Consider the following 23,190-nt stretch of genomic DNA (forward strand, 5'->3'; position numbering starts at 1 on the left):
CCCCTCCCCTCCTCATTCCCAGGAAGCAATTACTTAATAATTACCTATGAACCCTTCCTGAAATGTTCAATATATAAAAGTATATCTTTTATATATCTTCTTTTAACATAAATGGGATCATGCTATACACAATTCTGCCACTTATTTTCCACTTAGTTAACAATGTATCTTGAAGAACTTTCTACATCAGCACAGAGGAAATTACTTCATTCTTCTTTTTTTTTTTTTTCTTTTTTTTTTTTTTTTTATTATACTCTAAGTTTTAGGGTACATGTGCACATTGTGCAGGTTAGTTACATATGTATACATGTGCCATGCTGGTGCGCTGCACCCACTAATGTGTCATCTAGCATTAGGTATATCTCCCAATGCTATCCCTCCCCCCTCCCCCGACCCCACCACAGTCCCCAGAGTGTGATATTCCCCTTCCTGTGTCCATGTGATCTCATTGTTCAATTCCCACCTATGAGTGAGAATATGCGGTGTTTGGTTTTTTGTTCTTGCGATAGTTTACTGAGAATGTTGGTTTCCAATTTCATCCATGTCCCTACAAAGGATATGAACTCATCATTTTTTATGGCTGCATAGTATTCCATGGTGTATATGTGCCACATTTTCTTAATCCAGTCTATCATTGTTGGACATTTGGGTTGGTTCCAAGTCTTTGCTATTGTGAATAGTGCCGCGATAAACATACGTGTGCATGTGTCTTTATAGCAGCATGATTTATAGTCCTTTGGGTATATACCCAGTAATGGGATGGCTGGGTCAAATGGTATTTCTAGTTCTAGATCCCTGAGGAATCGCCACACTGACTTCCACAATGGTTGAACTAGTTTACAGTCCCACCAACAGTGTAAAAGTGTTCCTATTTCTCCACATCCTCTCCAGCACCTGTTGTTTCCTGACTTTTTAATGATTGCCATTCTAACTGGTGTGAGATGATATCTCATAGTGGTTTTGATTTGCATTTCTCTGATGGCCAGTGATGATGAGCATTTCTTCATGTGTTTTTTGGCTGCATAAATGTCTTCTTTTGAGAAGTGTCTGTTCATGTCCTTCGCCCACTTTTTGATGGGGTTGTTTGTTTTTTTCTTGTAAATTTGTTTGAGTTCATTGTAGATTCTGGATATTAGCCCTTTGTCAGATGAGTAGGTTGCGAAAATTTTCTCCCACGTTGTAGGTTGCCTGTTCACTCTGATGGTAGTTTCTTTTGCTGTGCAGAAGCTCTTTAGTTTAATTAGATCCCATTTGTCAATTTTGGCTTTTGTTGCCATTGCTTTTGGTGTTTTGGACATGAAGTCCTTGCCCATACCTATGTCCTGAATGGTAATGCCTAGGTTTTCTTCTAGGGTTTTTATGGTTTTAGGTCTAACGTTTAAATCTTTAATCCATCTTGAATTGATTTTTGTATAAGGTGTAAGGAAGGGATCCAGTTTCAGCTTTCTACATATGGCTAGCCAGTTTTCCCAGCACCATTTATTAAATAGGGAATCCTTTCCCCATTGCTTGTTTTTCTCAGGTTTGTCAAAGATCAGATAGTTGTAGATATGCGGCATTATTTCTGAGGGCTCTGTTCTGTTCCATTGATCTATATCTCTGTTTTGGTACCAGTACCATGCTGTTTTGGTTACTGTAGCCTTGTAGTATAGTTTGAAGTCAGGTAGTGTGATGCCTCCAGCTTTGTTCTTTTGGCTTAGGATTGACTTGGCAATGCGGGCTCTTTTTTGGTTCCATATGAACTTTAAAGTAGTTTTTTCCAATTCTGTGAAGAAAGTCATTGGTAGCTTGATGGGGATGGCATTGAATCTGTAAATTACCTTGGGCAGTATGGCCATTTTCACGATATTGATTCTTCCTACCCATGAGCATGGAATGTTCTTCCATTTGTTTGTGTCCTCTTTTATTTCCTTGAGCAGTGGTTTGTAGTTCTCCTTGAAGAGGTCCTTCACATCCCTTGTAAGTTGGATTCCTAGGTATTTTATTCTCTTTGAAGCAATTGTGAATGGGAGTTCACCCATGATTTGGCTCTCTGTTTGTCTGTTGTTGGTGTATAAGAATGCTTGTGATTTTTGTACATTGATTTTGTATCCTGAGACTTTGCTGAAGTTGCTTATCAGCTTAAGGAGATTTTGGGCTGAGACGATGGGGTTTTCTAGATAAACAATCATGTCGTCTGCAAACAGGGACAATTTGACTTCCTCTTTTCCTAATTGAATACCCTTTATTTCCTTCTCCTGCCTGATTGCCCTGGCCAGAACTTCCAACACTATGTTGAATAGGAGCGGTGAGAGAGGGCATCCCTGTCATGTGCCAGTTTTCAAAGGGAATGCTTCCAGTTTTTGCCCATTCAGTATGATATTGGCTGTGGGTTTGTCATAGATAGCTCTTATTATTTTGAAATACGTCCCATCAATACCTAATTTATTGAGAGTTTTTAGCATGAAGGGTTGTTGAATTTTGTCAAAGGCTTTTTCTGCATCTATTGAGATAATCATGTGGTTTTTGTCTTTGGCTCTGTTTATATTCATTCTTCTTAATAGCTGCACAGTATTAGTATTTCATGTTGTGGCTTTGCCATAATTAATTTTGGTTGTTTCCAGTCTTTTACTATTTCAAACAATGCTTCGATGAACATGTATGTATAGATGATATATGCGTATGTGTCCAAGAATCCCTACAGGATAAATTCTAAGATATAATATGCTGGATCAGTGATTAAAATTAATTGCAACTGCAAATTGTCTTCCAAAAAGATTATAGCCCCAAGCTGTATAAAAGTACCTATTTCTCCACTTACTCACTAACCCCAATCATTATCAAATGTTTTAATCTTTCCATTCCAACAAAACCTGACATCTCCCTGTTCTAATTTGTATTTTTATTAGAAGATAAGCATCTTTTCACATATTTATCAGCCATTTATATTTCTTTCTCTGTAAACTGACTATTCATATTATTGGTCCATTTGTCTTTCTGCAGTTTTTCACACCTACAAACAAACCCTTACCATTATTAACTCCCACCCACCACAAGGCACCGCCAACTCCAAGATACATAAAACTCCTACCATTGAGATGTAAGTCCACACTACAGTAAGAAAAGCAGGGAAGGGGTAGCATTTGAATAAGTTCTTTTGTCCACATGATTGAGAACACACTTTACTGACATGATTCAGTTATTCTAACTGCCCAAAGTCCACTCGAGAGTGCTGAATAAGCAAAATAAATACATGAAAAAGGAACTAGACAGTATGAAGAAAGCTTACAGCAAAAAAGTTTAACCTAAGTCAATGATGAGTACGGAAATGTTGGAAATAACCTAATAACGACTGCTTGTGTGGTAATCAAAGGGACTGTTCCTCTTAGAAACAACTCATATCAGAAAATGCAAAATTAACAAAATTTATGCAAGAGCAGTAGAAAAACGCAAAGCTGTGGGTGCTATGTCGAGGGAAACATAAGACAAAGCTTGACTACAAATATGTAAAAACAAAAATCTATGGGAAGAAAAAAACAACAGAAGAAAACTTAAGAAAACGTTCTAAGCGTTTATGAGTAAGTGGTAAAAGGCAAGATGATTTCAAATTTCTTCCTAACTACTCCAAAACAGCAACTGGCCTGAAAGAAAGAACTTTCTTTATAAAAGTAAAATTTTAAATTTAGACTTTAAAAAGAGTAATTTAATGTTACTAAAAAAAAACTAGCCAATTTTGATAATTTACTAATAGATGGAGCTATAACAAACTTCTAAGTACTAAGCTAAAGAGAAACAAACTTGTGGTCCAAACTAAGTCTATTTATATACCTCTGATAAAGAAGAAAAACGTGTTTTTTTCACTGGTGGTAGTAATATCTGAAAGGAAAATGAGACCTTGAAAAGCAAAATATGCAATAATTAATTATTTGCTCTAATTAACCATTATAAAACCAACTCTATCTCCAGCTTGCCTGCATTCTCAATAAAAGGTAGATCCGGAAGTGGAAATCAAAAATCTTATATCTTATATTTTATATGTCAGTGCTTTTAATAACTATTTATATGTCAGTGCTAAGAATAAACCATTCAAAGTATTCATTGTCAAAAATCTCTAAAAAAAAAAAAAATCAATACTGTAAAAATCAGTCCCATGGCCTGGCCAACATATACAAAAACCTACAGTCACCTTTTAGCCTCAAATTTATTCTCAAAAGCTTGGAGTATGTAACAATTTGCTTCATAACAAATAATGAAGTAAAATACTACTTTTTAAAATAGCTACTTCTAAAGAAATAAAAATAACTTTTTTTATTATACTTTAAGTTTTAGGGTACATGTGCACAACGTGCAGGTTTGTTACATATGTATACATGTGCCATGTTGGTGTGCTGCACCCATTAACTCATCATTTAGCATTAGGTATATCTCCTAATGCTATCCCTCCCCCGTCCCCCCACCCCACAACAGGTCCCGGTATGTGATGTTCTCCTTCCTGTGTCCATGTGTTGTCATTGTTCAATTCCCACCTACGAGTGAGAATATGCAGTGTTTGGTTTTTTGTCCTTGAGACAGTTTGCTGAGAATGATGGTTTCCAGCTTCATCCATGTCCCTACAAAGGACATGAACTCATCATTTTTTATGGCTGCATAGCATTCCATGGTGTATATGTGCCACATTTTCTTAATCCAGTCTATCATTGTTGGATATTTGGGTTGGTTCCAAGTCTTTGCTATTGTGAATAGTGCCGCAGTAAACATACGTGTGCATGTGTCTTTATAGCAGCATGATTTATAAACCTTTGGGTATATAGCCAGTAATGGGATGGCTGGGTCAGATGGTATTTCTAGCTCTAGATCCCTGAGGAATCGCCACACTGACTTCCACAATGGTTGAACCAGTTTACAGTCCCACCAGCAGTGTAAAAGTGTTCCTATTTCTCCACATCCTCTCCAGCACCTGTTGTTTCCTGACTTTTTAATGATCGCCATTCTAACTGGTGTGAGATGGTATCTCATTGTGGTTTTGATTTGCATTTCTCTGATGGCCAGTGATGATGAGCATTTTTTCAGATGTTTTTTGGCTGCATAAATGTCTTCTTTTGAGAAGTGTCTGTTCATATCCTTTGCCCACTTTTTGATGGGGTTGTTTGTTTTTTTCTTGTAAATTTGTTTGAGTTAATTGTAGATTCTGGATATTAGTGCTTTGTCAGCTGAGTAGGTTGCAGAATTTTTTTCCCATTCTGTAGGTCGCCTGTTCACTCTGATGGTGATGACCCAATATTGTTTAGGGGTTTTTTTTTTTTTTGAGATGAGGTCTCACCCTGTCCCCTAGGCTGGAGTGCAGTGGCACAATCTCAGCTCTCTTCAACTGCCACCTCCCAGACTCAAGCAATCCTCCCACTTCAGCCTCCCAAATAGCTAGGACCACAGGTGCAAGCACCACACCCTGTTAATTTTTTGTATTTTTTGGTAGAGATAGTATTTCACCATGTTGTCCAGGCTAGTCTCGAACTCCTGGGCTCAAGTGATCTGGCCAGGAGCGCTGGGATTACAGGCCTCAACCTCCTAAAGTGCTGGGATTACAGGTGTGAGCTGCCACACCCAGCCACAATACTGTTTCTCAATTTGTTCTTAATACATTTTACATTTGAAAGTTTTAAAGTTAATTGTATATTATGTCATATATACCAACATAAATTAATATTTATGACAACTTCAAATTATTTTTGTAACTATTGGAAATTTCTGGAAAACCATTTAATCTAAATGTTGATATTTTGAGGGAAATAGTCGTAACAGTGTCCCAAAAACTTTGCTCAAATAGTATGATTAAACTATTAAATTGTGATTATACTATTAAACTGTAATTAAACTTCCAACACCTTCAGTATGATGGAAAGAGCATATTCCTGAGAATCTAGAGGAGCTAACACTGTAACAATGGGTATATCACAATCTTCCTATAGATGTTTCCTTCAGCAGCCAAATGAAAGATTTCAGCTAGATCATTTGAGACCCCTTTTTTACACTGTATTTCTGTGGCTGTACACAAATTTGCTTCAAAAAGTCTCCAAAAGATTAAATAATCCAGTGTGCACTATTTTACATAGAGCCGTAGGTAAGCAGGCACAGTATGTTCTTTACTTTGTGATGTTTCCCCTCCTCACAGATGGCAGAATTAGAGGATGGTCCAGAATAATGACTAATAACCATCTGGAAATGACGGTGGCTAATAACCAGCTGGAAAAGATGAGCTAAGCCAATCAAAGTCTACTCCGGGAAATTTAAACCAAAAGACCCAGAGTTACCAGAAAGAGTGGAGCTGAAAAGTCATGCATATTCAGAAATAAGGCAACTATTAAGAATCATGTGCAACTTGAAGAGGAACTCACAAGTTTCAGAAGCAAATAGATCAGATGCCCAAAGACAAGAAAGACCTGTAAGAAAACAATGCATAAAATCCCTAAAACAAAGCAGTTGATACTACCAGCTTTCTATTTCCAATTACTCTGAAGTCCAATTGCTCTTCCTTGATGGTTTATTGTGTATCTTAAAATAAACCTTGCTCTTACTTCAGTACATTTGCCTCTTGCCCTGACTAGAAGCAAAACTGGTACAAAGATTAGGGATATACAGAGCAGGGCTTCAAAGAAAATGTGGATTTGGCCATGAAATTAGGGTAAGGAGTACAATGAGAATTCTGGGAGGAAAGAGAGCAAAACAGGATGCATACAGTGATAGCAGTTACTAAAGTTATCTGTGATTGCTTGGAACCCAGAATATGTGATTGCAAGGCTTTTGAGCATTAGATAGCTAAATGTACTTTTTTTCAGCCTTTAATAAAGTATAGAAAAAGCAATGAGCTAGAGTATGGTACAGCATCAAACCATACAACTTTTCTGGAAAATAATTCGATATTATGAATTAAGAGACTATAAAGAGAATTAAATAGAGTACTTTGATTCAGTAAATCTCTTTTTAGGACTCGACCCTAAGAAAACATCCAGACATGCAAACAAAGATCACAATTAGTATTAAGATGTTTATTGCACCATTATGTAAAGCAATAAAAAAGCAAACAATCTAAACAACACATAATAGAAAAATTATGCTTTATCATGTCAAATGTATTGTTCATCTTATTCACAGGCCTTTCTAGAGAAAAGTGCCCCATCTACAGTCCTTCTGAAAGAGCAGCCCTGGCAGACCACGTGATCAACAGTATAAAACTGACTGGATCTGGCGTTGACACTTGATTCCAAAGACCAAGAATTTAATACCAAAAGCCATAGGCTAGCCAGCAAGCTATGATGTGGTCTGGCTTAAAAGAGTGAACTGGGTCAGATTCTACTTCCTAGATATTCAACTAGTAAAATCAAGAAATGTAGCAGGTATTAACAGGCACTAAAGCCAAAATGGCTTTATGTACACAGAGGCCAGGGAAGTCACTGTGATTCTCATGTAAGCCAGTTTTAATAGACCCAACACAAAAAGAGGAACAGACACTGTAAGAGACCACATAGCCCACTAGAAAGAGTAAGCAGTCCACAGAAATGAGTCCCTGATAACTGAGGCTCAGCTGTACTACAACTTGTGTTACAAGACTCTTGGAAGATTTGTCTACTATTCTCTTTTCTATATCCTTACAATAAATTTCCCATTACTAAGGTAATCTGCCTTGACTAGTTCCATTTTAATTTTTTTTTTTTAAGAGATGGGGTCTCAATATGTTAGTTGGACTCAAACTCCTAGGCTCAGGTGATCCTCCCACCTCAGCCTCCCAAGTAGCTGAAACTACAGGCATGCCACTGCACCCAACTTCCATTTTAACTCTTTATTCAACAACTATTCATAATACGATAACTGCTAAGCATTAAGTCAACAAATGTCTGTTGAGCAGTTACTCTAGACCAGGCACACAGGGCATAATGTGGTAGAAAATACACACAGGATCCTGCCACATGTGCTTATATTTTGCTAGGACAGGAGGAGAGAGAGAGAAGTGGACAGTAAGTTTTTGTTTGTATTTTTTTAATTTGTAAAGGCTTGAGATTCTCATTAAAAATAGCAGACAAGGGGGGTGGAGCCAAGATGGCCGAATAGGAACAGCTCCAGTCTACAGCTCCCAGAGTGAGCGACGCAGAAGATGGGTGATTTCTGCATTTCCAACTGAGGTACCGGGTTCATCTCACTGGGGAGTGTCGGAAAGTGGATGCAGGACAGTGGATGCAGTGCACCGAACGTGAACCGAAGCAGGGCGAGGCATCGCCTCACCCAGGAAGCGCAAGGGGTCAGGGAATTCCCTTTCCTAGTCAAAGAAAGCGGTGACAGACGGCACCTGGAAAATCGGGTCACTCCCACCCTAATACTGTGCTTTTGCAATGGTCTTAGCAAACAGCACACCAGGAGATTATATCCCGCGCCTGGCTCGGAGGGTCCTACGCCCACAGAGCCTCGCTCATTGCTAGCACAGCAGTCTGAGATCAAACTGCAAGGTGGCAGTGCGGCTGGGGGAGGGGCGCCCACCATTGCCCAGCCTTGAGTAGGTAAACAAAGCGGTGGGAAGCTCCAACTGGGTGGAGCCCACCTCAGTTCAAGGAGGCCTGCCTGCCTCTGTAGACTCCACCTGTGGGGGCAGGGCACAGCTAAACAAAAGGCAGCAGAACCCTCTGCAGACTTAAATGTCCGTCTGACAGCCTTGAAGAGAGCAGTGGTTCTCCCAGCACTCAGCTGGACATCTGAGAACGGACAGACTGCCTCCTCAAGTGGGTCCCTGACCCCCGAGTAGCCTAACTGGGAGGCACCCCCCAGTAGGGGCAGACTGACACCGCACATGGCCGGGTACTCCTCTGAGACAAAACTTCCAGAGGAACGATCCGCTGTTCACCAATATCCGCTGTTCTGCAGCCTCAGCTGCTGATACCCAGGCAAACAGGGTCTGGAGTGGACCTCCAGCAAACTCCAACAGACCTGCAGCTGAGGGTCCTGACTCTTAGAAGGAAAACTAGCAAACAGAAAGGACATCCACACCAAAACCCCATCTGTACGTCACCATCATCAAAGACCAAAGGTAGATAAAACCACAAAGATGGGGAAAAAACAGAGCAGAAAAACTGGAAACTCTAAAAATCAGAGCGCCTCTCCTCCTCCAAAGGAAAGCAGCTCCTCATCAGCAACGGAACAAAGCTGGACGGAGAATGACTTTGACGAGCTGAGAGAAGAAGGCTTCAGACGATCAAACTACTCCGAGCTAAAGGAGAACGTTCGAACCCATGGCAAAGAAGTTAAAAACCTTGAAAAAAAAAATAGACGAATGGCTAACTAGAATAACCAATGCAGAGAAGTCCTTAAAGGACCTGATGGAGCTAAAAACCAAGGCACAGGAACTACATGACGAATGCACAAGCCTCAGTCGCTGATTCGATCAACTGGAAGAAAGGGTATCAGTGATGGAAGATGAAATGAATGAAATGAAGCAAGAAGAGAAGTTAAGAGAAAAAAGAATAAAAAGAAACGAACAAAGCCTCCAAGAAATATGGGACTATGTGAAAAGACCAAATCTACGTCTCATTGGTGTACCTGAAAGTGACAGGGACAATGGAACCAAGTTGGAAAACACTCTACAGGATATTATCCAGGAGAACTTCCCCAATCCAGCAAGGCAGGCCAACATTCAAATTCAGGAAATACAGAGAACGCCACAAAGATACTCCTTGACAAGAGCAACTCCAAGACACATAATTGTCTGATTAACCAAAGTTGAAATGAAGGAAAAAATGTTAAGCGCAGCCAGAGAGAAAGGTCCACCCACAAATGGAAGCCCATCAGACTAACAGCTGATCTCTCGGCATAAACTCTACAAGAGCCAGAAGAGAGTGGGGGCCAATATTCAACATTCTTAAAGAAAAGAATTTTCACCCAGAATTTCATATCCAGCCAAACTAAGCTTCATAAGTGAAGGAGAAATAAAATCCTTTATAGACAAGCAAATGCTGAGAGATTTTGTCACTGCCAGGCCTGCCCTAAAAGAGCTCCTGAAGGAAGCACTAAACATGGAAAGGAACAACCAGTACCAGCCACTGTAAAAACATGCCAAATTGTAAAGACCATCGAGGCTAAGAAGACATTGCATCAACTAATGAGCAAAATAACCAGCTAACATCATAATGACAGGATCAAATTCACACCTGACAATATTAACCTTAAATGTAAATGGGCTAAATGCTCCAATTAAAAGACACAGACTGGCAAATTGGATAAAGAGTCAAGACCCATCAGTGTGCTGTATTCAGGAAACCCATCTCACGTGCAGAGACACACATACGCTCAAAACAAAGGGATGGAGGAAGATCTACCAAGCAAATAGAAAACAAAAAAAGGCAGGGGTTGCAATCCTAGTCTCTGATAAAACAGACTTTAAACCAACAAAGATCAAAAGAGACAAAGAAGGCCATTACATAATGGTAAAGGGCTGAATTCAACAAGAAGAGCTAACTATCCTAAATATATATGCACCTAATACAGGAACACCCAGATTCATAAAGCAAGTCTTTAGAGACCTAGAAAGAGACTTAGACTCCCACACAATAATAATGGGAGACTTTAACACCCCACTGTCAACATTAGACAGATCAACGAGACAGAAGGTTAACAAGGATATCCAGGAATTCAACTCAGCTCTGCACCAAGCAGACCTAATAGACATCTACAGAACTCTCCACCCCAAATCAACAGAATATACATTCTTCTCAGCACAACACCGCACTTATTCCAAAATTGACCACATAGTTGGAAGTAAAGCACTCCTCAGCAAATGGAAAAGAACAGAAATTATAACAAACTGTCTCTCAGACCACAGTGCAATCAAACTAGAACTCAGGATTAAGAAACTCACTCAAAACCGCTCAACTACATGGAAACTCAACAACCTGCTCCTGAATGACTACTGGGTAAATAACGAAATGAAGGCAGAAATAAAGATGTTCTTTGAAACCAATGAGAACAAAGACATGACATACCAGAATCTCTGGGACACATTCAAAGCAGTGTGTAGAGGGAAATTTATAGCACTAAATGCCCACAAGAGAAAGCAGGAAAGATCTAAAACTGACACCCTAACATCACAATTAAAAGAACTAGAGAAGCAAGAGCAAACACAGTCAAAAGCTAGCAGAAGGCAAGAAATAACTAAGATCAGAGCAGAACTGAAGGAAATAGAGACACAAAAAACCCTTCAAAAAAATCAATGAATCCAGAAGCTGGTTTTTTGAAAAGATCAACAAAATTGATAGACCACTAGCAAGACTAATAAAGAAGAAAAGAGAAGAATCAAATAGATGCAACAAAAAATGATAAAGGGGATATCACCACTGATCCCACAGAAATACAAACTACCATCAGAGAATACTATAAACACCTCTACACAAATAAACTAGAAAATCTAGAAGAAATGGATAAATTCCTCGACACATACACCCTCCAAAGACTAAACCAGGAAGAAGTTGAATCTCTGAACAGACCAATAACAGGCTCTGAAATTGAGGCAATAATTAATAGCTTACCAACCAAAAAAATCCAGGACCAGATGGATTCACAGCCAAATTCTACCAGAGGTACAAGGAGGAGCTGGTACCATTCCTCCTGAAACTATTCCAATCAAAAGAAAAAGAGGGAATCCTCCCTAACTCATTTTATGAGGCCAGCATCATCCTGATACCAAAGCCTGGCAGAGACACAACAAAAAAAGAGAATTTTAGACCAATATCCCTGATGAACATTGATGCAAAAATCCTCAATAAAATACTGGCAAACCAAATCCAGCAGCACATCAAGAAGCTTATCCACCATGATCAAGTGGGCTTCATCCCTGGGATGCAAGGCTGGTTCAACATACGCAAATCAATAAATGTAATCCAGCATATAAACAGAACCAAAGACAAAAACCGTATGATTATCTCAAGAGACGCAGAAAAGGCCTTTGACAAAATTCAACAACCTTCATGCTAAAAACTCTCAATAAATTAGGTATTGATGGGTTGTATGTCAAAATAATAAGAGCTATCTATGACGGTCTGTCATATCACAGCCAATATCATAGTGAATGGGCAAAAACTGGAAGCATTCCCTTTGAAAACTGGCACAAGACAGGGATGTCCTCTCTCACCACTCCTATTCAATATAGTGTTGGAAGTTCTGGCCAGGGCAATCAGGCAGGAGAAGGAAATAAAGGGTATTCAATTAGGAAAAGAGGAAGTCAAATTGTCCCTGTTTGCAGATGACATGATTGTATATCCAGAAAACCCCATCATCTCAGCCCAAAATCTCCTTAAGCTGATAGGCAACTTCAGCAAAGTCTCAGGATACAAAATCAATGTGCAAAAATCACAAGCATTCTTATATACCAATAACAGACAAACAGAGAGCCAAATCATGAGTGAACTCCCACTCACAATTGCTTCAAAGAGAATAAAATATCTAGGAATTCATCTTACAAAGGACATGAAGGACCTCTTCAAGGAGAACTACAAACCACTGCTCAATGAAATAAAAGAGGATACAAATAAATGGAAGAACATTCCATGTTCATGGGTAGGAAGAATCAATATCGTGAAAATGGCCATACTGCCCAAGGTAATTTATAGATTCAATGCCATCCATCAAGCTACCAATGACTTTCTTCACAGAATTGGAAAAAACTACTTTAAAGTTCATATGGAACCAAAACAGAGCCTGCATTGCCAAGTCAATCCTAAGCCAAAAGAACAAAGCTGGAGGCATCACGCCACCTGACTTCAAACTATACTACAAGGCTACAGTAACCAAAACAGTATGGTACTGGTACCAAAACAGAGATATAGATCAATGGAACAGAACAGAGCCCTCAGAAATAATGCCACATATCTACAACCATCTGATCTTTGACAAACCTGACAAAAGCAAGAAACGGGGAAAGGATTTCTTATTTAATAAATGGTGCTGGGAAAACTGGCTAGCCATAGGTAGAAAGCTGAAACTGGATCCCTTCCTTACACCTTATACAAAAATTAATTCAAGATGGATTAAAGACTTAAATGTTAGACCTAAAACCATAAAAACCCTAGAAGAAAACCTAGGCAATAACATTCAGGACATAGGCATGGGCAAGGACTTCATGTCTAAAACACCAAAAGCAGTGGCAACAAAAGCCAAAATTGACAAAAGGGATCTAATTAAACTAAAGAGCTTCTGCACAGCAAAAGAAACTACCATCAGAGTGAACAGGCAACCTACAGAATGGGAGAAAATTTTCGCAAACTACTCATCTGACAAAGGGCTAATATCCAGAATCTACAATGAACTCAAACAAATCTACAAGAAAAAAACAAACAGCCCCATCAAAAAGTGGGCGAAGGATATGAACAGACACTTCTCAAAAGAAGACATTTATGCAGCCAAAAGACACATGAAAAAATGCTCATCATCACTGGTCATCAGAGAAATGCAGATCAAAACCACAATGAGATACCATCTCACACCAGTTAGAATGGCGATCATTAAAAAGTCAGGAAACAACAGGTGCTGGAGAGGATGTGGAGAAATAGGAACACTTTTACACTGCTGGTGGGACTGTAAACTAGTTCGACCATTGTGGAAGTCAGTGTGGCAATTCCTCAGGGATCTTGAACTAGAAATACCATTTGACCCAGCAATCCCATTACTGGGTATATACCCAAAGGATTATAAATCATGCTGCTATAAAGACACATGCACACATATGTTTACTGCGGCACTGTTCACAATAGCAAAGACTTGGAACCAACCCAAATGTCCAACAATGATAGACTGGATTAAGAAAATGTGGCACATATACACCATGGAATGCTATGCAGCCATAAAAAATGATGAGTTCATGTCCTTTGTAGGAACATGGATGAAGCTGGAAACCATCATTCTCAGCTAACTATCGCAAAGACAAAAAACCAAACACCGCATGTTCTCACTCATAGGTGGGAACTGAACAATAAGAACACATGGACACAGGAAGGGGAACATCACACACCGGGGCCTGTTGTGAGGTGGGAGGAGGGGGGTGGGATAGCATTAGGAGATATACCTAATGTTAAATGACAAGTTGATGGGTGCAGCACACCAACATGGCACATGTATACATATGTAACTAACCTGCACGTTGTGCACATGTACCCTAAAACTTAAAGTATAATAATAATAATAAAAAAGCAGACAAACATGCACCTACATAATCCCTCATAAAACCTCACAAAACCCACTAAGACAATGTTTTAAATTCAGAGGTGTACCTAAAACATCCTCCACAAAGAATAAATTAAAGTGAGTACATGTGTAACCACCACCCAAGAAGAGAAGAGTATTTCCAGCAACTCAAAAGATTATCTGTCCCTTCCAAATTACACTTCTCCGTCTCAAGCAAAAGTAGCCACTACCCTTTTTGGGAAATCACCCCCTTATTTTTCTTTGTAGTTTTTCAACCTCTGTATGCATGCCTAAACAATATGGTTTAGTTTTGCCTCCCCTCTGAACTTTATGTAAATGGAATCATACTGTATGCTTTTGTGTCTCTTTCTCTGAACATTAGGTCAGAAGTTTATCCTGGTGTATGTAACTGTGATTCACTCACTTTCATTTCTTATTAATATTCCCTGGTATGTACCACAATTTATCCACTCTAATGTTGATGGACATTTTGCCTATTACATACAATGCTGCTATGAACATTCTTGTAGGGAAATCTCGCATACGTGCATGCATTTCTCTAGAATATACACACAAAAGAGGAACTGATGGATCACAGGTTAGGCGTATCTTAAATTTTGGCATTAATGCTAAATTGTTTTCCAAAATAGTTGTACCAATTTATACTGTCACTAGCAGTGCATGAGAATTCCCATCACTGGACATCCTTGCCATCACCAGATACATGTGAGAGTAAGTAATTTTGTGCAAATCTGTTAGGTATATAATAGAATCTCCTGATTTCAATCTGTCTTTTTGTGATTATTAATGAGCTATGGCTCCTTTTCAAATATTTACCGGTCATTTAGATTTTCTCTTGTGACGCACCTGTTCAAATATTTCATCCGTTATTGTTATCATTTTCTTATTTGTAGATATTGTTATATTCTGGATACTAGTCCTTTGTCAAATATAGATGTTGCAATTCTTTTCTCCAACTCCACAACTTGCATTTCACTTTTAATGCTATCTTTGAGGAAGTTCCTAATTTTAAAGTAGTCCAATCTATCATTAATCTCCTTTTATGATACAGTACTTCCTTTACTTTTAGTTTTTTATTTTGACATAATTTCAGGCTTACAAAAAGTTGTAAATTTATACAGTTATACAAAGTTATAAAAAGTTCCTGTATACCACATTCCCCAAATGTTAATATTTTACATCTGCTTTACCCTTGTCTCTGTATACATACATATATTTTTTTCTGGACCATTTGAAAGTTGCAGGCATGATTCCTTTTTATTCCTTAATACTTTAATGTTTCCCCTTAAAAATGTCTTATATGACCACAGTACAATTATCAAGATCGGGCAATGGATACTGATAAAATACTATTATCTATAGAGCTTAGATTTCTTGAACTGCTGCAATAGTGTCCTTTATAGTAAAAGAAAATTCCAGATTAAGTGTTTAGCTATGTCTTTTTAGACTCCTTTAATCTGGAATAATTCTTCACTCTTTCTTTGTCTTTCATGGCATTAACACTTTTGAAGAACACAGATCAGTTATTTTATAGAATATCTTAAAATGCAGGTTTCTCTGATGTTTCCTCTCAATTAGATTTAGGTTATGGGTTTGGGGCAGGAATACCACAGAAATGTAGCAATGTTCTTATTGCATTTTATCAGGTGGCACTTCTGTTAATTTGCCCCATCTCTGATGATGTTTACTTTGGACAGCAAATGCAGATAGTATCTTCCAGGTTTCTCCTCTATGTTGTTTTTCCTTTATAATTAATAAGTATACTGTGGGAATATATTTTGAGATTATGTAAATATCCTGTTCCTTACTAAACTTTCATCCATTAGTTTTAGTACTACTATGATGGCTGCCAAATGGCAATTTTCTAATTCCATCGTTGCATCATTTGTCAGTTTCCCTCTGTAAAGAAGAGCGTTCCTTATTTGTGTACTTATTTATATCAGTAAAAATTCATGGATTTTTATCTTATTCAAAGGGTTATAATCCACTATCATTTATTTTCATACCCAGATTGTCCCAGATTTGGCCAGTGGAAGACCTTTAAGCTAGCTCCAGTGTCATTATGACATGCTATGACCATTCTTTGAGCAATTCCTTACTTTCTGGCACAAGAAATTCCAGATTCATCTCATTTTTCATGCTCCAGCCTAAAATCAGCTATTCCTCCAAGAAATAGTGGTTCCTTTTAGTGGACAAAGGTATTTAGAAACCAAGATCTAGATGCCAGTTGTGTTCACTGCTACAGGGGTATCACTGCTTCTAGGCCTCTCAGCTGACAGTTAGGAAAACAAATGTGTGTGTATGTTTATGTATGTATCTATAGACAGACACACACATATCTATTTTCAACTGTCCACTGAAAGGGCTTAGGATCAAAGACACACCAATACAAACATCCGTATCATATCTACATATCTCTATACCTATACATCACTGCTCTATGTCTGTTTAAATATACACAAATATATGCATGTATACATACACACATTATTCATATAAACATGTAATATATTCATATGTGTATAGACACATACACATCTATGAGGTCACACTAATGCCTCTAATGCAATTATATTGACAAGGTTCATTCTGGCCTTCCCACTTTCTCTTTTTTTGAGATGGAGTCTCGCTTTGTCACCCAGGCTGGAGTGCAGTGGTGCCATCTTGGCTCACTGCAACCTTCACCTCCCACGTTCAAGCGATTCTTCTGCCTCAGCCTCCCAAGTAGCTGGGATTACAGGCACGTGCCAACATGCCCAGCTAATTTTTTGTATTTTTAGTAGAGACAGGGTTTCACTGTGTTAGCCAGGATGGTCTCAATCTCCTGACCTCGTGATCTGCCCGCCTCAGCCTCCCAAAGTGCTGGGATTACAGGTGTGACCCATTGCACCCGGCTGCCTTCCCACTTTCTACACTTGTAACTCTCTTCTTCAATAATGAGAAACCTGGCTCACAATATCCAAAATATTTCTATCTGCAATTGTGGTTTATTTGTGTAGTGAATTCCTATAATTTTAGGTTGCCTTGGCATTCGTTTCAAGTATAAGTCTGACTTTCTCATTCAAGAATCAGGGCTCAGTCACCCTTGACACAGTTTTTAGTTCTCCATTTCCTCCCAGGTCCTCAATGTGGTCAATCAAGATACCTGCCTTTTACAACCACCTCCTGGTTATCACCTCCTTTTAGGAGAGCTAGGTAGAATCTACCTGACTCACCCTAATGACCCCAAACCCTGCACAGATATGCCTCAGTGACCACCTCTTAGTCACAGCATGACTCATGCCTGCTTGCTCCAACCTACAAATTAGAACTCCTCATAGGAAACTTGCTTGGTTAAGAACACCCTGGACCCCAGTAAAGGCTTTAGTTCCCTAGGTCCTTTCTCTTTCATCCCATCCACTGGTTGCACTTGCGTGTCCTAGGTGGCACCCCTCTTCCTGTTGACCTTGCAAGGTGTGCTACTTTCTCTTCTCTCTAAAATCTGAAATTAAAACTGCTTGTTATTTCATGCGTTTTGTTTTACCATCTCCTCTGTAGCTCACCTGACCAACACACCTGAACCTAATTCTCCGCTTGGTCAGGGTTCTCCTAGAGCGTGGCTGTCTTGGTCAAATAAACTGGACACGGATAGGACAAGAACCACAAGGGTATCTGCCAGTATAAGTTTCCTGTGAGAAGAACACCTGGCCATAGGTCTGACATTTAAGCATTAGGACATCTACCAAGATAAAAAACTATCTCATGAAAGACAGACTGTAAACATCCATGACCATCTCATATGGTCATATCCCAGCTCCACAATAATCCCTGGAGCCCCATCAGGACAGACATACAGTTAACAGCCACTCTCCAGAGAGTTTACAGACACTCTCAAGAAAGATCAAATTAGAGGAAAATAAAACAATTTGGCCAGGCATGGTGGCTTATGCCTGTAATCCCAGCACTTTGGGAGACCGAGGCGGGCGGATCACAAGGTCAGGATATTGAGACCACCCTGGCTAACGTGGTGAAACCCCATCTCTACTAAAAATACAAAAAATTAGCCGGGCGTGGTGGCAGGCGCCTGTAGTCCCAGCTACTCGGGAGGCTGAGGCAGGAGAATGGCGTGAACCTGGGAGGCGGAGCTTGCAGTGAGCCGAGATTGCACCACTGCATTCCAGCCTGGGTGACAAAGCAAGACTCCATCTCAAAAAAAAAAAAAAAAATTTGATGTTTTAAGAAATCTTTTGCAACCTCAAGGTTAGCAATACATTTTCCTCTACATGTATTCCTCTGAATTCTCCCTTCTAAAATATGTATTGTTCTGTCTTGCACATCTCTAATCTACTTGGAGTTAATTTTTATGTATGGGGTGAGATAGGGACCAAGTCTTCCTTCTTTCCTATGTAGATAACAAGATGTCCCAGCACCACTGATTGAAAAGATCAACCATCCTGTTACTCTACCATGCCAATTGTGATATAAATCAAACATCAACAAATGTGTGGGTCTCTTTCTGGTGCTGATTTTGGTGTATTTGTCCTCAGACTGCCATCTCACTATCTTAATGACTACAACTTTTATAAGTCTTGAGCTGGTAGAAGTCTTCTTTATTGCTCTTCAATATTGCCTTATCTATTCTTGGCACTATCTAGCTCCATAAAATTTTAGCATCATTCTATCAAATTCCACAAAATTCTCTTAAAATTTTGATTGGGAATGCATCAAAGATACATAAATAAGCTTGGAAATGGTTGATATTTTTACAGTAGTGAATCTTCCAGTCCATGAACATAGTATTTATCTCCTTTAAGTCTCTCAATAAAGTTTATTAATTTTGCTTATAGGAGTTTTACACATATATCATTAGATTTGTTGCTAGGTCCTTTTTGATGGTATGAAAAATGACATCATAGCTCCAGTTCCAAGTAAAATAAAGTAACCACAGTGATGTCTCTCCCACTTGATGCAGCCATAAAACATAAACAGAAAGCACAGAACAGCTATTTGAGGACTCTTAATAAGGTGAATTATAGCAGATAAATGCGGTAAGAAGAATGGAGTTTGAAGTTCACTATTCTAGCAGAGTTTCCCATTTTACTGAACTAAGTTAGGCCTGGACTGTCAGGCCTAAACCAAGCAGCAAAAACAGAGAGCTCCAGGAGAAGCCATTTACTTTTGGCTCAAGGAATGGGAAAGGAGACTCTTAATGTTCACAGAAAGGGAGGAAAAATTCTCCCTTTATCTTTTTTTTCCCTTTTCTCTATTTTCTGATATCACAGCCCCCAAATAATTCCACAGTTCTACTCTGAGGTGCCATGACCCCAAGAGAGTAGAGTGGATCCACGTTGCTCTTTTTCTTTCTCTACAGGTACTTTGGCACTGAATATAGACAGGTACAGTCACAGGAAGTGACTGGTTTTCCAGCCAGAAAACCAGAAAGTACCAGGAAAGTCACAGAAAGAGGAGTCTGGAAAGGCAACTCAACAAACTTGCTTGTAAACTCCCGGGCTCATCCCCAGGCTGTGCAAGCATAATCTTAAGCTTAAACAGCAGAGCAAAGACCTTGAGACCACTGCCCAGGTTCCATACTGGCCACTCAGTGGCACATCACAGGATAGAGTATATTCAGCTAGCACTGCAAAGGCTTTGAAAATGGAACTTACATGGAAACTACAATATACAGAAGGTTGGTCAAACCTTTCCATCTCAACCCAGCCAGCTCTAATTCCTGCTAAAACAAAAATATCAACATTCTCCATAGGATTTACAAAAGGCCCAGAGTCGCATAACGTAATATTTTTAAATGTCCAGGCATAATCCAAAATTACTCATATAAAGAACTAAGAAAATCTCAACTTGCAAGAGAAGAGACAACAAGACACAGATGTTGAAATCAACTGACAAAGATGTTAAAATGGCTAGTAGAAAAATGTTTAAAGAAGTGTGGGCACTCCCCAAATCAATAACATAGGTTTCCATCTTAATCAATTAGAAAAAGAAGAGTAAAACAATTCCAAATCACATAGAAGGCAGGAAACAATAAAAAAGCAGATATCAATGATATTAACAGAAAACCAAGAGTGAATATGAATGAAATCAAAAGAGCAATATAACATAAAAACTTCAGCAAGATAGGCAAAGAGAAAAGACACAAATTACCAATATCAAGAATAAAAGAGGGGTATCAGTACTAACCCTGCACACATTAAAAGTATAATAACGAAATGCCACAAACAACTCTATACGCAAACCTATAAAAATGAAACAGATGAAAAAGACCAATTCCTCTAAAACCAAAAACAGTAAAAACACACCCAAGCTGAAACATATTACTAGGATAGTCCTTTAACTATTAAATAAATTAAACGTATAGTTAAAACCCTTCTGAAAAAGAAAACTCCAGGCCCAGATTGTTTCACTTATAAATTCTACTAACATTTAAAAAAGAAATAACACCTATTCTACATAATCCTGAGAGAAAGTAGAAAAGGACAAAATACGGCCGGGCGCAGTGACTCACGCCTGTAATCCCAGCACTTTGGGAGGCCCAGGCAGGCAGATCACGAGGTCAGGAGATCGACACCATACTAGCTAACATGGCGAAACCCCATCTCTACTAAAAAACAAAAAAAAATTAGCCGGGCGTGGTGGCAGGCACCAGTAGTCCCAGCTAGTCACGAGGCTGAGGCAGGAGAATGGCGCGAACCCGGGAGGCGGAGCTTGCAGTGAGCTGAGATTGCACCACTGCACTCCAGCCTGGGTGACACAGTGAGACTCCGTCTGAAAAAAAAAAAGAAAAGGACAAAATACTTCCAAACTCATGAAGCTAGTATTACAATGATACCAAAACCAGACAAAAACAGTACAGGAGAAAAAACATAATAAAAAATATTCTTAATGAACACAGATGCAAACACACTCAATAAAATATTAGCAAATCAAATCCAGCCACAAATAAAAACAATAATATACCATAACGAAGTGGGGCTTATACTGGTACTACAAGACTGATTCAATTTTCAAAACTCAATCACGGCAATCCACACATTAATAATTTAAAGAAAAAATATATAACCATATTAATGCATACAGAAAAAGCACTTGACAATACTCAAGATTCCTTTATGATAATAACTTTCAGCAAACAAGGAATAAAAAAGAATCTTCTCAGCCTTATAAAGGGCATCTATAAAAAAAAAACCTAGTACTGCAATAAGGAAAAAAAAAAAAAGAACACATACATTGGAAAAGAAGAATTCAAACTGTCTAATTTGCAGCTAGTGTGGATATCTACACTGAAAATCCCAAGAGATTTACAAAAAAAAAAAAGAAGCCTAGTGCTAATAAGGTCACAGGATACAAAATCAGAATTTCTGTGCAGCCATGAACAACTGGAAACAATTGGAAAATAAAATGTTTAAAAAGATACCATTTTAACATAGGTCTGAAAAATTAAATACTTCTAACAAAACATGTATCAGATCTATATGCATAAACACTGATGAAAAATCAAAGAAGATCTAAATAAATATAGACATATGTTCATAATTGGAAGACTCAAAGATGTCACTTCTCCACAAATTGATCTACAGATTTAAAAGAAAGGCAATCAAGTTCATTCCCAGTAGGATTTTTTTTGTAGCTATGGACAAACTGATCCTAAAATTTAAATGGAAAGGTAAAGGAACTAGAATAACTAAAACAATTGTAAAAAAAGAGAATAAAGTTCAAAGAATCACACTACTCAATTATAAGACTTACCATAAAGTCAATAATCAAGACAGTGGTATTGTGGCAAAAGGATAGAGACATAGATCAGTGCAACAGAATACAGATTCCAGAAATAGACCCACAAAAATATAGCCAATTGATTTTTTACAAAGGTACAAAGGCAATTCAATGGAGAAAGGGCAGCTTTTCAACAAATGGTGTTGGAACAACTGGATGTTCATATATCAAAAAAAAAATCTAATCTGATATTTTACACAAAAATTAACTCAAAATGAATCATAGGATCTAAATTTAAAACACAAAAAGCTTCATGAAATATACAAAAAACATCTTAGCATGATACCAAAACTCGACAAAAACAGTACAACGGGGGAAAAAAACATATAAATATATGTATTTTTTTTAAACAGCGTCTCACTCTGTCACTCAGGCTAGAGTGCAGTAGCATCATCTCAGCTCACTGCCACCTCTACCTCTTGGGTTCAAGTGATTCTAGTGCCTCAACCTCCCAAGTGGCTGGGACTACAGGCGTGTGCCACCATGCCTGGCTAATTTTTGTATTTTTAGTAGAGACAGGGTTTCACCGTGTTGGCCAGGCTGGTCTCGAACTCCTGACTTCAAGTGATCTGCCTGCTTTGGCCTTCCAAACTGCTGGGATTATAGGTGTGAGCTACCCGGCCCAGCCCATACAGATTAATATTCTTTTTTTTTTTTTTTTTTTTTTTTTTTTTTTTTTTTTGAGACGGAGTCTCGCTCTGTCGCCCAGGCCGGACTGCGGACTGCAGTGGCGCAATCTCGGCTCACTGCAAGCTCCGCTTCCCGGGTTCACGCCATTCTCCCGCCTCAGCCTCCCCAGTAGCTGGGACTACAGGCGCCCGCCACCGCGCCCGGCTAATATTTTGTATTTTTAGTAGAGACGGGGTTTCACCTTGTTAGCCAGGATGGTCTCGATCTCCTGACCTCATGATCCACCCGCCTCGGCCTCCCAAAGTGCTGGGATTACAGGCGTGAGCCACCGCGCCCGGCCCCAGATTAATATTCTTAATGAACATAGATGTAAAAACACTCAAAGAGCTAAAAAAATAAAAAATACTGTGAGGAATTAGTGGGCCAAAATCTAAGAGAAAAGGAGAACATAAGGCTGTGCTCAGCACTGAATGCCAATTTGTCCTAACAGCATTTGCTAATCTAAAAGAGTGAGGGTAAAACTGAGCTGCATTTTGATGGTCTCTTGGATCTAGAGGAACAAAAATGAAAGTGCTCCAT

At 38.9% G+C, this 23,190-nt stretch overlaps 1 protein-coding gene across 21 annotated transcripts in view, besides 1 other annotated feature; it reads right to left on the bottom strand.

Annotated features, from left to right (window-relative positions):
* The window catches only part of DMXL2 (Dmx like 2), a 174,981-nt gene that overhangs the window by 135,101 nt on the left and 16,690 nt on the right, over window positions 1-23,190 (bottom strand). The gene's annotated exons all lie outside the window — the stretch shown is intronic.
* Window positions 20,661-20,955: an enhancer, noted in NCBI's record as "tiled region #1269; K562 Activating DNase unmatched - State 5:Enh". NCBI's record gives its function as "activates a minimal TATA promoter and a strong SV40 promoter by Sharpr-MPRA in K562 cells {active_cell/tissue: K562}" and the evidence as "EXISTENCE:reporter gene assay evidence [ECO:0000049][PMID:27701403]".

Source organism: Homo sapiens, chromosome 15, assembly GCF_000001405.40.
Source record: "Homo sapiens chromosome 15, GRCh38.p14 Primary Assembly".
Lineage (NCBI taxonomy): Eukaryota > Metazoa > Chordata > Mammalia > Primates > Hominidae > Homo > Homo sapiens.